This window comes from Homo sapiens, chromosome 12 (genome assembly GCF_000001405.40).
Source record: "Homo sapiens chromosome 12, GRCh38.p14 Primary Assembly".
Lineage (NCBI taxonomy): Eukaryota > Metazoa > Chordata > Mammalia > Primates > Hominidae > Homo > Homo sapiens.
This window is the reverse complement of record NC_000012.12, coordinates 112,693,708-112,708,487: the sequence shown is the minus strand read 5'-3', so window position 1 is coordinate 112,708,487 and position 14,780 is coordinate 112,693,708. Positions and strand designations below refer to the sequence as shown.

The window sequence follows — 14,780 nt, the reverse complement described above, 5'->3', positions numbered from 1 at the left end:
CTTGCTGCTTGATCCCTTGTACGCCCCCATTTTGGCATCTCATTAATGACCAGCCACTACCTCTGAAGCCAATTCCAGCGCTGGCCCCATCTCTCTTCCCAGCAGCCTTGCAAATGCCGCCATCCGCCTGGACAGCCCAAAGAGGTTATGTGCCCCTTTTCCCCTCCTGGTCCTGGAAGACTGCACTGTTAACACCATCTCCACAGGGTTAACGAGAATTACATGCCAGACTTTAGATAAAGGTACAGAGAGGGCATTGATCAGGTTGCCATTTGACCTACTTCCCTGTAGCTACTTATGGACCACATAGGCTGTGACATAAACCATGAACTTCCTCATTGTTCCTATAGATGTTAGGAGCCCAAGACTTTCTGTTTGAGATGTTTTCAGAACAGTTGAAGCCAACTAGTCTGAAGATTCCACCAAGGAGCTAAGTCAGCATGAGAATGCGGTTTCTTCAGCTTCCCGTCCCACGACTTCAGCCCGTACTCTTTGACCAATCAACACCTTGGCCCACTACCCATCCAAACTCCTTAAAATTCTAGATCCAAATTCTTCATGGAGGTGGATTGGAGCTTTCCTCCTATCTCCTCACTTGGCAGCCTTACAACTAAGACTTTCTCTGCTGCAACCCAGCATCTAGGCATGTTGCCTTGCTGCACATCAGGCAATGGGCCTGGCACCATTACACCTTGACTGTCCCTAAAGAGAAAAGTAAATGAAGTTAGGATTAGCTATACTTCTTGATAAATATAAAATCTCTCCCTGCTCTGCAAATGTCCCCAAAGGCCTAGTCACATTCTGGGATGGCAAATACCCAATGATGTAAACAAGGTGAATATCACAATTGCTATAACTTGTTAAAAGCCAATTACATGGCAGGCACAGAGATAGGCAATATGCTTGTATCTATATATTCTCATTTATCCTGACAATCACCCTATTTGTGGTTAGGACTACAGGCTTTGAAGTCAGACTGATCTGGGTTTAAATCCCAGCCCTGCCACCTATTGGGTGATCTTGGAGAAGTGAGGCAATCTTCCTAGGCCCCAGTTTCCTCACCTGTAAAGTTAGGGTAAAACTACCTAACTAAAGGGGTTGGTGTGAGAAGTCAATGGCAGAATGTATCTAAACCAATTATCATAGTCAATGTTTAGGTAATGATGTGGATGGTGATGGTCGAGGAGGAGAAGGGACAGGAGGAAGATAAAGCAGTTTGGAGAGGCTAATTAACTTACCTAGGGCCACACAGCTAATGAGTGACAAATATAGGATTCCAGCCAGGTAAGCTCATTTTCAAATGATTTTTTTAGCATCAAAAGACTCTCTTCAAGCATCTCACAATGAAACTCTGAGCATTTGCAGCTTACCTCTTACATGGCCCCATTCTGAGAAAGCTGAAAGAAACCCTCAGTGTGGCAAGAAGCACTGTTTAAAAACCCCTGCCCACTCCACTGCCTCTTGGGGTACAAAGCCCTTGCAGAGAATCAACAATGTAGGTCACGGCTTGTTGGGATCCTCTGGCTTCCCCGGAGAAACCAGGTGTTGCAGCTTCCCCAAATCAAGGGACTCGTCAGACTACAAGCTTGTCCTCTGTAAGTTGTGTGCTCACTAGAAGGCCTCTACACCTGTGCAGGAGTAAGCTTAAGTCTGTTTCTGCTCAAATGTCAGTATGAGAGGACATCTTCCAGACTCCAAACCCTATCTCTCTATATAAAATTGAGCATTTCAAAGTTATTATTTGGGGCCATTCAGTTCTCCCATCCCTGGCTTAAGAAAAACAGATTTCTTTTCTGTTACTTGCAAACAAGAATCTTGAGTGAGACACTCGGTCAGGACCACCCATCCACCATCTTCACCTAGCTAAACCTCTATGCGTTATTCAAGGCTCTGTGTAAAAACCACTTCCTAAAGCCATTCTCATTTGTTGAAGTGCCTGATTTGGGGCAGGGTTTCTCCAGAAGCAGGGCAGGAGAATGAAATGTAAGTTCAAGCAGTTTGTTTGGAAAGTGATCCCAGCAAGCATCAGTAGGGAGAGAAAAGGAGAAGAGAATAGAAGGAAGACATTGAAGAGTGCATCCTTGAACCTGTTCTGTGTGGGCGACTGGGGCTTCATTGCACTGAGGAGTTCTGGGGCAGGGAGAAAACATGTCTCAGAGTTATCCCACCTGAAGAGTTGAGAAGCTGGGGTATTTATACTCTAATTCTCATCTGTCATTGGTTGAGGGCCTTTCCTGGGGACATTGACTCCAAAGAACTTCTGCCTGAATCATATGTGACAATCAAGATAAAGTTCTTTACAATTAGTTGCATGCTGTCGGCACATAATAAAATGGTTAGTGCCAAGGGGATATGGGAGAGGCACCAAAAGTGTCTGCTCTAGTCTCCATGGTATCTTTTGTCATTTTATCCTATACTTGTCTTTCATAGCACTATGCAACTGTCAGGAAATGCATACATTTATTTGTTTGGGTCTGTTTCTCCCAACAAACTAGAAGCTCCATGAAATCAGGAACCACATCCATCATATTCCCAGCACCTAATAGAGTCTCAAGTCATAGCCATTGAATAATTGAACTAGAAAACAGATGGGTGGATGAATGGAGTGGTGGATGAATGGATGGACACAGTCACCTCTTTAAATTTTAACATGCTGTTGATACACTTAGATTTTAAAACAGCAGTTAAGGAAGAAATATTACCTCTCAAAATATAAGCCTGAGATGTAAGACCCAATCTCAATTTCAATTAAAAAAAGTTTAAATTTAAAACATTTAAAATTTAAACATTTAAACATATTAAACAAGTCAATATGCCAAAACATTTAAAATTTAAAAATTTCGATTAAAAAAATTAATTTTTAAAGGATCTTAATTTCCTTGTGCATGAAATTGTATTCTACTTTTTTCCACACAATTTTCCATGGGTCTAAATTACCTTCATAATTATCACTGCAGTGGACACAAACAAAACTTTATTAAGAATAGTGTTTATTGTACCATTGAACTATAAACCTCCTTGCACAAATTATTTTTCCTTCTTCTGAATTTCCTTAGAATACCTTTTAAGGAGTAGAGTTACTCTGAGTAGGTGGCAAGAATTTCTAGTTGTCTGTTTCCCAATATCTTCTCCTCTTTGTTCCATAAAAATAGAATTTATAGCTGGACACAAGGCAATCTGGGATAAAGACTACATTTCCCAGACTCCCTTGCAGCCAAGTATGACTAGGTGACTGATTCCAGTCAACAGGATGCTAGCACAAAGGACACATGCAATCTCTGAGCCATGCCCTTAAAGAGAAGGAGCAGATCCCTACCTTTTCCTTTTTCTCCCTTTTAACTGGCTGGCATATGGACATGGTGGTGAGCCATGTTGTACCCTGAGATCAAGAAGAACTCCCATGGTAAGATAACAGAAATGAAAAGATAGTTTCACCACATAGAGCCTCCATACCAGATTGAACTTTTATTTGAGACAGAAGCAAACTACCTAATTTAAAGCGCGATTACTTTGGGTCTCTACTGCATTCAATTCAGCCAGTCTCATTTTTATGGTTCTTAATCTCCAGATTGTTAGCACGACCCATTTAAAAGATATAATTATTGCAAAATTTGTGTAACAATCTACTGCATATAATGAGTAGGTTATTAAATCTCCACTATGCCCAAGCTCCCCAGGAATCCATTAGCAGTGTACTCTCCCAAAGTCAGAATATTAAAGAGATTCTTAGCCAAATAAATTTTTGAAATGTTGGTCAAAACAAAGCATAATAACAGGATGTGCACTGGGTCTCTTCCTGTTGGCCCAGGATCGCAGGAGGTGAGCATCCCCCATCAGCAGGACTGGAAGGCACCTTGGGGTAGGATCTCTGGGAAGAAAGAGATGATGGTAGCCGCATTGCTTTCCCAGTTTCTTAGATATATGGGTCCAGGGAGAAGTGGAACCCCACCCTCAAGGAAACCACTCACACCACCTACTCAGAGACCACACTACCAGCTGTGGCCATCAGCACACAACTGAACCTTTGAGCAAAGGGCCACCTTCCCTCTGTCTCTCCATCACCCAGCACCATAGATCTGCACCTTGAAAAGATGGAGGTGCTGAGCGCAGTGGCTGATGCCTGTAATCCCAGCATTTTGGGAGGCTGAGGTGGGCGGATCACCTGAGGTCAGGAGTTCGAGACCAGCCTGCCCAACATGGTGAAACCCCATCTCTACTAAAAAATACAAAAATTATCCAGGTGTGACGGCTTACGCCTGTAGTCCCAGGTACTCAGGAGGCTGAGGCATGAGAATTGCTTGAACCTGGGAGGTGGAGGTTGCAGTGAGTTGAGATCATGCCACTGCACTCCAGCCTGGGCAACAGAGTGAAACTCGGTCTCAAAAAAAAAAAAAAGAAGAAGAAGAAGAGAAAAGATAGGAGGAAATGGAGTGAAAAGAGGGGTGTCTCACTGCAAACTGTATGCCTTTCCCTTCAACTCCAAACAGTTGAAGCTGTAGCTCAAGTCTGATCTGGGAGGAGAAGAAGATGAGATTTAAATTCAATTTGAGGTTATAATTGTAATAGGTTCATTGCCCAAGGCACATGGCAAGTCAATATGCCAAGAAACCAGGTTGCAGCAGAGAATGAGGTTTAATAGTAGGGCGGCTGAATGAAGACACAGGAGGAAACCTCAAATCTGTCTCCCTAAGGAGTTTGGGGCTAGGGTTTTTAAAGGTTTTGGGGTGGGCAGATGTGGAGATCATGGATTGGTCAAAGAATGCAGGGTGAAGTCGTGAGACAGGGAGATAAAGAAACTGTATTCCCATTGCTGATTCAGCTCCTCTGTGGAGGTTTGTAAGCTGATTTGTGTCAGCATTTCCACTGGAATTCAGGATCTGCTTAAGCAATTCTTAAATAAAAGCCTTATCTAGTGCTATGTTACTTTCTGTTACAAGGAAGTGGGTCAAAGTGCAGCCTGATTAATGCTGAATTATGACTATATTTCTGTCCAAAATTTTTGTTAACTTCATGAGGATGGCTTCAGTACTGCAGTTCTATACTAGAATGGACTTTTAATGACTTAAATTAGCCTAAAAGTTGGGGAATCTGACTAAGGATGGGAAAGTCTATTTTACAATGCTCAGCTGGAAGAATGGTGGAGAATAAATAAAACCTTTTCATTATTTCATCCTCTGTATCATTTATAGCCACAATATGCTGTGTAACAAACCCACAAATAATAAAAGTTTATTATTCACACATCTGACTCCACTGGGAGTTGGTTGATCCAGGTTGGACTCAACTCCACCTGTCTCTCATCTTTCTTGGACCAACAACTACCCCAAGCATGTCCTCAAGGCAATGGCAAAGGTGCAAAAGAACATGTGGAAACACACAAGTCCTCTTGAAAAACAGTCTCAGAACTGGCACATCCCTGCTTCCTCATCCTCTTGAGATACAGGCTCAGAACTGGCACATCCTTGCTTCCTAGTCATTCTGTTGGCTAGAGCAAGTCATGTGGCCCAGCCTAGCATCAGAGTGGACAAGTCCCTCAAAACTAGATGGGAAAGGGAATGTTACAGGGAAGGGGGTAGAATTAAGGCAGTGATCTTCAATCCACCACACCGTGCTAAGCCATCACTGTTGAATTAACCTAATACAAAAATTTGACCAGTTTCTTTATCAGTTTGACGTGTCAGGTCCTTTAATATGCTAAGAAGAACTCCGAATCTCCACTAATGGCATGTGTCTCACTTGACCAGCAGAACATTTTTGGGGGGCTCCTTGCAGAGAGTTTAGCAAAGGCTCCTACAAGTGGGGCCCAGACCCTTGGTCCAGCTCTTCCCTCTTCTCTTCAGTCACTCTTCTTTACTCCTCAGTTACAGCCATTCCTTCACTCTAGTCTATGGCTGCACAGCACAGGGCAAAGAGCATGAAGGCTGGAGACCTGTTCCCTAGCACCCATGTGGGCTTGGGCAAGCCACTTAATCTCCCTGAGCATCAATGTCTTCATCTATGAGGCAGGCCATTGTACCTGCCTCAGTTTCCCTAGTGATAATCAAACCAGACCATCCAGGCAAAAGTGCTTTGTGAATAACTCCTGATCTCCTGGGCAAATCTCTCATCCCAGCTCCTAATACTGGGCTCTGACCATAATTAACTCAAAGAGAATTTGTTGCAAGTCTCAACATCTGGCTATTTTCTTCAGCCTTGACATAGGACCAGAAGGGGAAGTATGGGCAAAGAAGTGGGGAGTGGGAAGAGGCGATGATGTTAGTTTCCTGGAATATTTTAAAACCTAAGAGAGTCTTCATGTAGTTTATGTCTATAAAGTGGAAAGGGAAACAAATACAAAATAACACTGAAACTGAGCCAGCTTATCTGCATCTGATGGCAACTTTTGTCCTCCAAACTTTTCCAGACATACAGGCAGCTTAGTTGGTATTCAGGAGGTGGCTGTGCTTGCTAAAACCACCTAGTACTTATCCCAAGTGGAATCCCCTAACTCCTTCTGCTCTGCTCTTAATCGCAAAAATGGAGGTGATGGGGAAGGAAAGCTTACTTCTGATTAATAGCATACAGTACATTTTGCAGTTAAAGAACTCATAGCTCAAATTATTTCAAATCATAATTTCAGGAATGTGGGCCCTGCTGTAAGTTTCTGGTTGGACACTGTCAACATAGAAAATGTGAAGATTGGTGCCTGCATCTTGGTTTTCCTTGCTTCTGACGAACCACATCTCTTCTTTGTTATGTTTCATTACTGTCTCTTTGTCTCAAGGCCTTGAACCACAGACCAGTCAGTGCTTGGAATTGGAATAGACATTAGAACTCATTGAGCTAAACCATAACATCTTACCATCTCTATCACTCCCCAATATAAGATTGAAATAACCCACTCCATTTTTGGCAAACATCCTCCCACACTCAGCTGAAATACCTCCAGGGACACAGAACTCACTAAATCTCAAGGCAGTGCCTTCTGTCATAGGATAGCTTCAGACCTGACCTTAGGTGAAACTACCACCCACCTTCTCATAGCTACCTTAGCCCTGATTCTGCTCACTGAGGCCCCAGAAACCTTATTCCCTCTCTCCTATGGTTGTCCTGTGGATAAAAGATAATAAGCATTACATCTTCTCTCTGAGAAATTTTAGCCACCAGGCTTGAACTTTTTCAACTTCCCGCATTGTACCAGATTCACACCCCCATCTATCATTACACCTTTTCCTTACATCTAAAGAGTAAGGTGACCTCTTTTTCTGTTCAAAACTCACCTTTCTACCTATACTCTCGACTCCATCTCCTCCTGCCCTCTCTGTGGCTTTGATGGTTGAAATAAACTTGGGAATCAATTTTTAAAAGAGATAAAGAAAAGTTTGTATCCCAGTGCATAGCTTGAGAGACTGAATGAATGATGAAGTCATCGACTACAAGATGGAGGGAGAAGGAGGAGTAGGTCTGGGAGGAAGGTCATGAGTTCAGAGTGGGGCCATGCTGAGTTTGAGGTGTCTGGGGACACCGAAGGGAAGAAGTCTAGCAGGCAGATAGACATAAAATCCTGAGGTATGGGAGAGAGGGCTGTGCTGGGGATGGAGATGAAGGGATCATCAGCCCAGAGAAGGTGGTTGGGACATGAGAATGGATAAGATTGCCTAAAGAGGTATAAAGAGTGACAATGTCAGAGATATCTTTGGAATGGTATTTTGGAGAACCTCAACTTTTAAGAGGTAGGCGAAGGATGAGACAGAGGTTTGAAATGCCAAGGAAAGCCAAGAGAATCTGCTGAAATGAAATCCAAAGGTGTAAGTGTAGAGAAAAGGGGTGATCAATCATGTCAAATGCAAAAGTAAAGTCTGGCAAAAGAGCATGTGGAAAATGTCCAACAAACTTGGCAATTAGCAGACCAGGTGCAGACTCGGAGAGTGTAATTCCCATAGAGGGATAGGGGCAGAAACCAACAGGTGGATGAGAGAAGGCTGAAGGAAGTGGAAGTGAAGGTTGCAAAAATAGATTTCCCCATTTCTGAGAAGCTTACATGAGAATAGGAGGAGTTTCCGACTTAGGAGTGAAGATATAGTGGGTGGCTGTATGGCTAGTAAAGATGGTCTGACAAAAATTCTTCTCTCTCACCAATCTATAATATCTTAAAAATCATTATATTAAGAATTCACTTGGGGAAGCAGAGGTGGGTGGATCACTTGAGGTCAGGAGTTCGAGAACAGACTGACCAACATGATGAAACCCTGTCTCTCCTAAAAATACAAAATTAGCTGGGAGTGGTTGTGCATGCCTGTAATCCCAGCTACTTGGGAGGCTGAGGCAGGAGAATCGCTTGAACCCGAGAGGCGGAGGTTGCAGAGAGCCAAGATCGCGCCATTGCACTCCAGCCTAGGCAACAAGAGTGAAAGTCTGTCTCAAAAGAAAAAAAAAAAAAGAATTCATTAAGGATTTATTCCTTTAAGTCAGTGGCTTGTTCTCCTTGGAAATGTAAAAAAAACTCAGCATGGCTAACAGTTATTTAACAAACATTTATTGAACTCTTCTTCTGTGCCAGGCATATTGCTAGGCATTAGAGATCATGAAATGGATAAGATATGAAAGTAAAAATAATTGTTAAATTAATTTCTGGCATTCTTAAGAAAAAAGCCAGAAAACCCACCAGCTCCTAGAAGTGTATGTAGACTTTCTTTCATGCATGTTTGACTTTTTATTTTTCACTTTTATATCAACCTTATTGAGGTATAATTTGCATACAATAAAACGAACAGATTTTAAGCGTGCAGTTTGATGAGTTTTGACAAGTGAAACCACCACCCAAATCAAGAAAGAGAACGTGTTTCTATCATCCCCACAAGTTCTTTACTGTTTCTTTCTCATCAAACCCACCCCCAGGCAACCACTTGTCTGCTTTCTGTCACTATAGGTTGGTTTTGCTTTTTCTACAGTTTCATATAAATGGAATTGTACCCTTTTCTGTCTGGCTGCTTTTGCTCAACATAATGTTTTTGAGATTTGCCCATGTGGTCACGTGCATCAGTGGTTTATTTCTTTTTATTACTCAGTAGCATTCCCATGGATGAATATATCCGAATTTATGTATCCATTCACCTGTTGACAGACATCTGTGTTGTCTCCAGATTTAAGGAATTATGAATAAAGCTTCTCTAGACATTCCCAAACAGATCTGGTCATATGTTTTCATTTGTCTTAGATAAATAATTTAATTGTGTGACTGCTGGGTCATATAGTAACTATACTTTTTACCTTAAAAGAAACTATTCAGGCTGGGCACAGTGGCTCTTGCCTGTAAGCCCAGCACTTTGGGAGGCCAAGGCAGGAGGATTGCTGGAGCCTAGGAGTTTGACACAAGCCTGGGCAACATGGTGAAACCCCATCTCTAGAAAAAATACAAAAATTAGCCAGGTGTGGTGACACATGCCTGTCGTCCCAGCTACCTGGTAGGCTGAGGTAGGAGGATCACTTGAGTCCAGGAGGTCAAGGCTGAAGTGAGCCATAATCACAGCACTGCATCCTGGGCAACAGAGCAAGACCCTGGAAGAAGGAGGAGGAGGAGAAGGGCGGGGGGAGGAGGGGGAGGAGGAAGGGGAAAGGGAAGCGGAAGGGGAAGGGGAAGGGGAAGGGGAAGGAGAAGGAGAAGGAAAAGGGGAAGGAGAAGTAGGAGAAGGAGAAGGAGGGGAAAACTATCCTACCGTTTTCTGCAGTGGCTACACCATTCCCAACAGTAACGTATGAGAGTTCCAGTGGCTTCATATCCTCACCAGCATTGGATATTAATTATCTGTTTTCAAAAGCCATCTCAGTGGGAATATATGTCACTTATCAGCTATGTGTTTTACAAATATAGTCTTTAAGTCTGTGGCTTGTCATCATTTTCTTAACAGTGTCTTTCAAAGTATAGAAGTTCTACATTTTTATAAAGTCAAATTTATCATTATTTTATGGTTTAAAAAGCCATCTCAGTGGGAATATATGTCACTTATCAGCTATGTGTTTTACAAATATAGTCTTTAAGTCTGTGGCTTGTCATCATTTTCTTAACAGTGTCTTTCAAAGTATAGAAGTTCTACATTTTTATGAGGTCAAATTTATCATTATTTTATGGTTTATGCTTTTTTGTCTTAGCTAAGAAATCTTTGTCTAACTCAAGGTCACAAAGATTTTTCTCCTTTTTTTATTAGTAGTTGTAGAGCTTTAGGTTTTACATTTAGGTTTCTGATCCATTTTGAGCTAATGTTTGTATATGATGTAATATATGGGTTGAAGTTCATTTATTTCCACGTGGATATCCAATTGTCCTAGCACAATTTGTTGAAAAGACTATTATTTCTTCATTGGACTGTCTTGGCACCTTTGTTAAAAATTGACTAAATATGTGCGGGTCTATTTCTCAATTATCTTATTTCATTTAACTACTTTTCTCTCCTTTTGCCAATGACATTTTATATTGACTACTGTAGCTCTTTAATAAGTCTTGAAATCAAGTGGTATGAATCCTCCAACTTATTTTTTCAAAACTATTTTGGCTATTCTGGGTCCTTCTCACTTCCATATAACTTTTAGAATTCATTTGTCAATTTCTTTAAAGAAAAAAAAAGTCTGTTTGGATTTTTTTTTTTGAGATGGAGTTTCACTCTTCTCACCCAGGCTGCAGTGCAGTGCCATGATCTCAGCTCACTGCAACCTCCGCCTCCTGGATTCAAGCGATTCTTATGCCTCAGCCTCCCGAGTAGCCAGGACTACAGGCATATGCCACCATGCCTGGCTAATTTTTGTATTTTTAGTAGAGACAGCATTTCACCATGTTGGCCAGGCTGGTTGCCAACCCCTGACCTCGAGTGATCCACCCGCCTCAGCCTCCCAAAGTGATGGGATTCAGGCGTGAGTCACCATGCCTGGCCCTGTTTGGATTTTGAGTGAAGATTAAGCCTGTAAATCAATTTGGGAAGACTAGACATCTTAACAATATTGAGTCTTCCGACCCATAGTATGGAATATCTCTGCATTTATTTAGATTTTCCTTCATTTCTCTCAGCAATGGTTTATAGTTTTCAGTGTAAAGATCTTTACAGCATTTTATGTCTGTTTCTAAGCTTTTCATGTTCTTGGTACTATCATAAATAGTGTTGTTTTAAAATCTCATTTTGCAATACTTATTCCTAGTATATAGTAGTAAAATTAAATTTTTTATATTGCCATTGTATCCTGCAACCTTGCTAAATTCTCTTATGAGTTCTAGTCATTTTTCTAATAGATTCCTTAGGAATTTCTACATACATGATCATGTTGCCTGAAAATACAGTTTTATTTCTTCCTTTCTGAACTGTATGCCTTTTTCTTTGCCTTATTGCCATGGGTAGGACCTCAAATCCTGACCAGAAGTGGCAAAGGGGAATAATCTTGCTTGCTCCCATATTAGAGGAAAAGCTTTCAGTAGTCAGTTATTAAGTATGATATTACTTGTAGATTTTTCTTAGGTGCCCTCATGTATGCTTTTTAAAAATCTTAAATAGTATCATTGTTACTATTAATATTATAAAGAATAAGCATGTTTACTGTAAAAAAAAAAGAAAGAAAAAAGAAAACAAGACCAAAGCATATGACATAAAATGCTGAAGCCTTCTGATCCAGTCCTACCAATCTCCTAGGCAAATTATTTGGATACTGAAAGAGGTAGAGTAGGAGAGAGATATGATGGAGACCAAAAAGAGAACAGATTTTGTTTTGAAGGAAAGAATTACCTCACCATTTAAAATGAAAAATAACCTGAGTTATCTAGAGCTGCACATCTTTTTGATGGGGGAATTCTCCTCTTCTCCTGGAGTCCTATCTGAGCCCTTCATTCTGAGTTGGCTCTCTTCTCTGTATTCACATCAAAAGGAAAACTGTTCTTGGAGTCAGAAGAGTTGGGATGAGAAGGCACACAACCTAGCAATGAAGAGTCTGAGCTTCAGAGTCAGGCCCACCAGAGGTCCCACCTTCACCATAATTCTTACTTATGTATGGCCTCCCTGAGCCTCCACTTGTACATCTGTTAAAAGGAATGATAATAGTTCAGGTCTCCTGGGAAACAGTATAGAGATTTCTTAAAGAACTAAAAGCAGATCTATCATTCTATCCAGCAATCTCACTACTGAGTATCTACCCAAAGGAAAAGAAGTCATTATGTGGAAAACACACATACACACACATTTACAGCAGCACAATTTGCAATTGCAAAGATATGGAACCAATCTAAGTGTCCATCAACCAACGAGTGGATAAAGAAAATGTGGTCTATATACACCATGGAATATTACTCAGCCATAAAAAGGAACAAAACAATGTCTTGTGCTGCAACTTGGATGGAGCTGGAGGCCACTATTCTAAGTGAAATAACTCAGGAATGGAAAACCAAATATAGTATGCTCTTGCTTATAAGTGGGAGCTAAGCTATGAGGATGCAAAGTCATAAGAATATCATGAATTTTGGGGACTCAGGGGAAAAGTTTGGGAGGGGGTGAGGGATAAAAGACTACATATTGGGTACAGTGTACACTGCTCAGATGATAGGTGTGCCAAAATCTTAGAAATCACCACTAAAGAACTTATCCATGTAACCAAAAACCACCTGTACCCTCAAAACTACTGAAATAAAAATAATAATAAATGATAACTAGTAGCAAAAAAAACTACTCCAGGTCTCCTGGGATAGAGATGTAACACGTGAGAAGTACTACCTGGATGCAATATGTTAGCACTTTCCCTGTGCATAGCAAATCTTCCATGAATGTGGGCAACCACTGGCCATCTTTGGGCCAATCTCTTAACCTCTAGGACTCCATATAATGGGGATACCCCTACCTGCCTCCCAAGATTATGTGGAAATAAAATGATAGCATAAATATCAAAGACACAGCCAAGCAACAAAGTCAGGCTGGTACCCAGAGGTAGGAATCAGACTTGGCTTAAGATCCATTTGTTCCTTTCACTCAAAATCGATTTCCCAGTGAGCTATAGCACTTCCTCCTTTATTGATCAACCTCTGAAACTGGCCTATATTATTTTAGATAGGCAATACCCTCAATCTTTTAAAAAAGATTTTTTTAAATGTGCTTACTCTGGAATAAACAAATTTCTTTTTTTCCTCCTTCAAAACTGTTAACCTTTCCAAATGAAGTTCCAAAATGAAAGCGTGTTTGGTGAGCCATCCCATCCTGTGAATTTTGGTTAGGATATACACCAGAAGCAATACCAGTTATCTTAAGTCTATACATCTCTGATCCTTGTCTATGGATTAGGGTTGCCAAAATTTAGCAAACAAAAACACAGAAAGCCCAGTTAAATTTGAATTTCAAGTAAACAATGAATAATTGTGTATGTAAGAATATCCCATACAATATTTGGGACATACTTATGCTAAAAATTATTCCTTGCTTATCTGAAATTCAAATGTAACTAGGATTCCTGTATTTTATCTGAAAACTCTGTATAGATTTCCTTCCCTAAATGTTGTATATAAAACTTACAGCAAACTGCTAGAAGGGATGAGAACTCAGACAGCAGAAGGGAACAGCATAGATGAAGTGACTTCAGATTTTCACAATGGTGCCAGGTATTTTAGAGACTTTTCCTCACTTAATCGTCACTCACACATTTAACTAGAGCCCTATGGGTTGGCATTATCTCCTGTTTTACCAATGAGGCAATTGATGATGAGAAAGATCAAGTAGCTTGTCTTAAATCTAAAGTAATTATCTAAGAGAGCTTCATGGAAGAAGAGGCCATTTCAAGTAAACAGAATCTCTCTCTCTCTCTCTCTGTGTGTGTGTGTGTGTGTGTGTGTGTGTGTGTGCGTGTGCGCGCGCGCGCGTGCGTGTGTCTTTGTCTCTCTCTGTCTGTCTCTCTCTCTCTCTCTGCCTTTCTCTCTCTCTCTGTCTCTCTCTCTCTCTCTTTTTCCCCGCCCTCATCTGGTCCTTTCTTATGCTGCTGCTGCTGCATGACAATCTCAGCTTGGTGGCCAGCCAGTGGTAAGAGTGTCACTTGGAAGAAATAAGAGGTCCCACTTGGGCCTTGAGACTAAGTCACTTGCCCCAGAGACCTGTACAGGTGTGGGGCACTTGCCGGATAATCACTAAGAAGACCTCTGCTTTCCCATTTGTCACTGCCCCTCGTGTGCATAAAACCTCAGCTAAGAGGTGGAGCAGCTGGGCCACGTGAGACTCAGACACTCCCTGCATCCTCCCACCAAATTCCACCAAATTCTCAAAACAATGTCCAGCAATAACGGGTCAGGTTGGAGATAAGAGTTGGGGCGGTGTTGCGAAGGAAGATGACAGAGAGCCATGGAAGAGCACCGCAGGCAAAGGAGGGCCACTCAGGGAGTATGAACCAGGCAGCGGCAGCGCTGAGAGGGCTGAGCTTCTGACAAAATCTTATTGACAGGCTGATGAAACACTTTCAGCTTCAAGAGGAGTTTTCCTGTAAGAGTGTGCAGAGCGAATTAGATACCAGTTAGAAAGCCATTGCAAGGCTCCTGGCCTTCAATCAGCAAATATTTATTGGGCAAATCCTAACTGCTGAACATCAGTGCAAGGCACAATGGAGAACAAGAAGGGAATAGGCTTTGCTCTCCTGAAGCTTATGTTCCAACAAGAGACAGATAAATGGCAAATAAACAAGTCAATAAATAGGCACAATGATTTTAGGTGGCAGTAAGCATTTTGAAAAATATAAACCTAGATAATGGGATGGTGAGGAGCAGGGGGCATCACTAGAAAAAGTGATCAGGGAAGGAA

The 14,780-nt window shown here is 41.4% G+C and overlaps 1 protein-coding gene and 1 non-coding gene across 2 annotated transcripts in view; one reads left to right on the top strand and one right to left on the bottom strand.

Annotated features, from left to right (window-relative positions):
* Nucleotides 1-14,780, bottom strand: part of RPH3A (rabphilin 3A) — a 323,646-nt gene that overhangs the window by 190,394 nt on the left and 118,472 nt on the right. The gene's annotated exons all lie outside the window — the stretch shown is intronic.
* Nucleotides 13,312-13,454, top strand: MIR1302-1 (microRNA 1302-1). Its single transcript, NR_031631.1, has one exon. It is a non-coding gene; the product is annotated as a microRNA 1302-1 (primary transcript).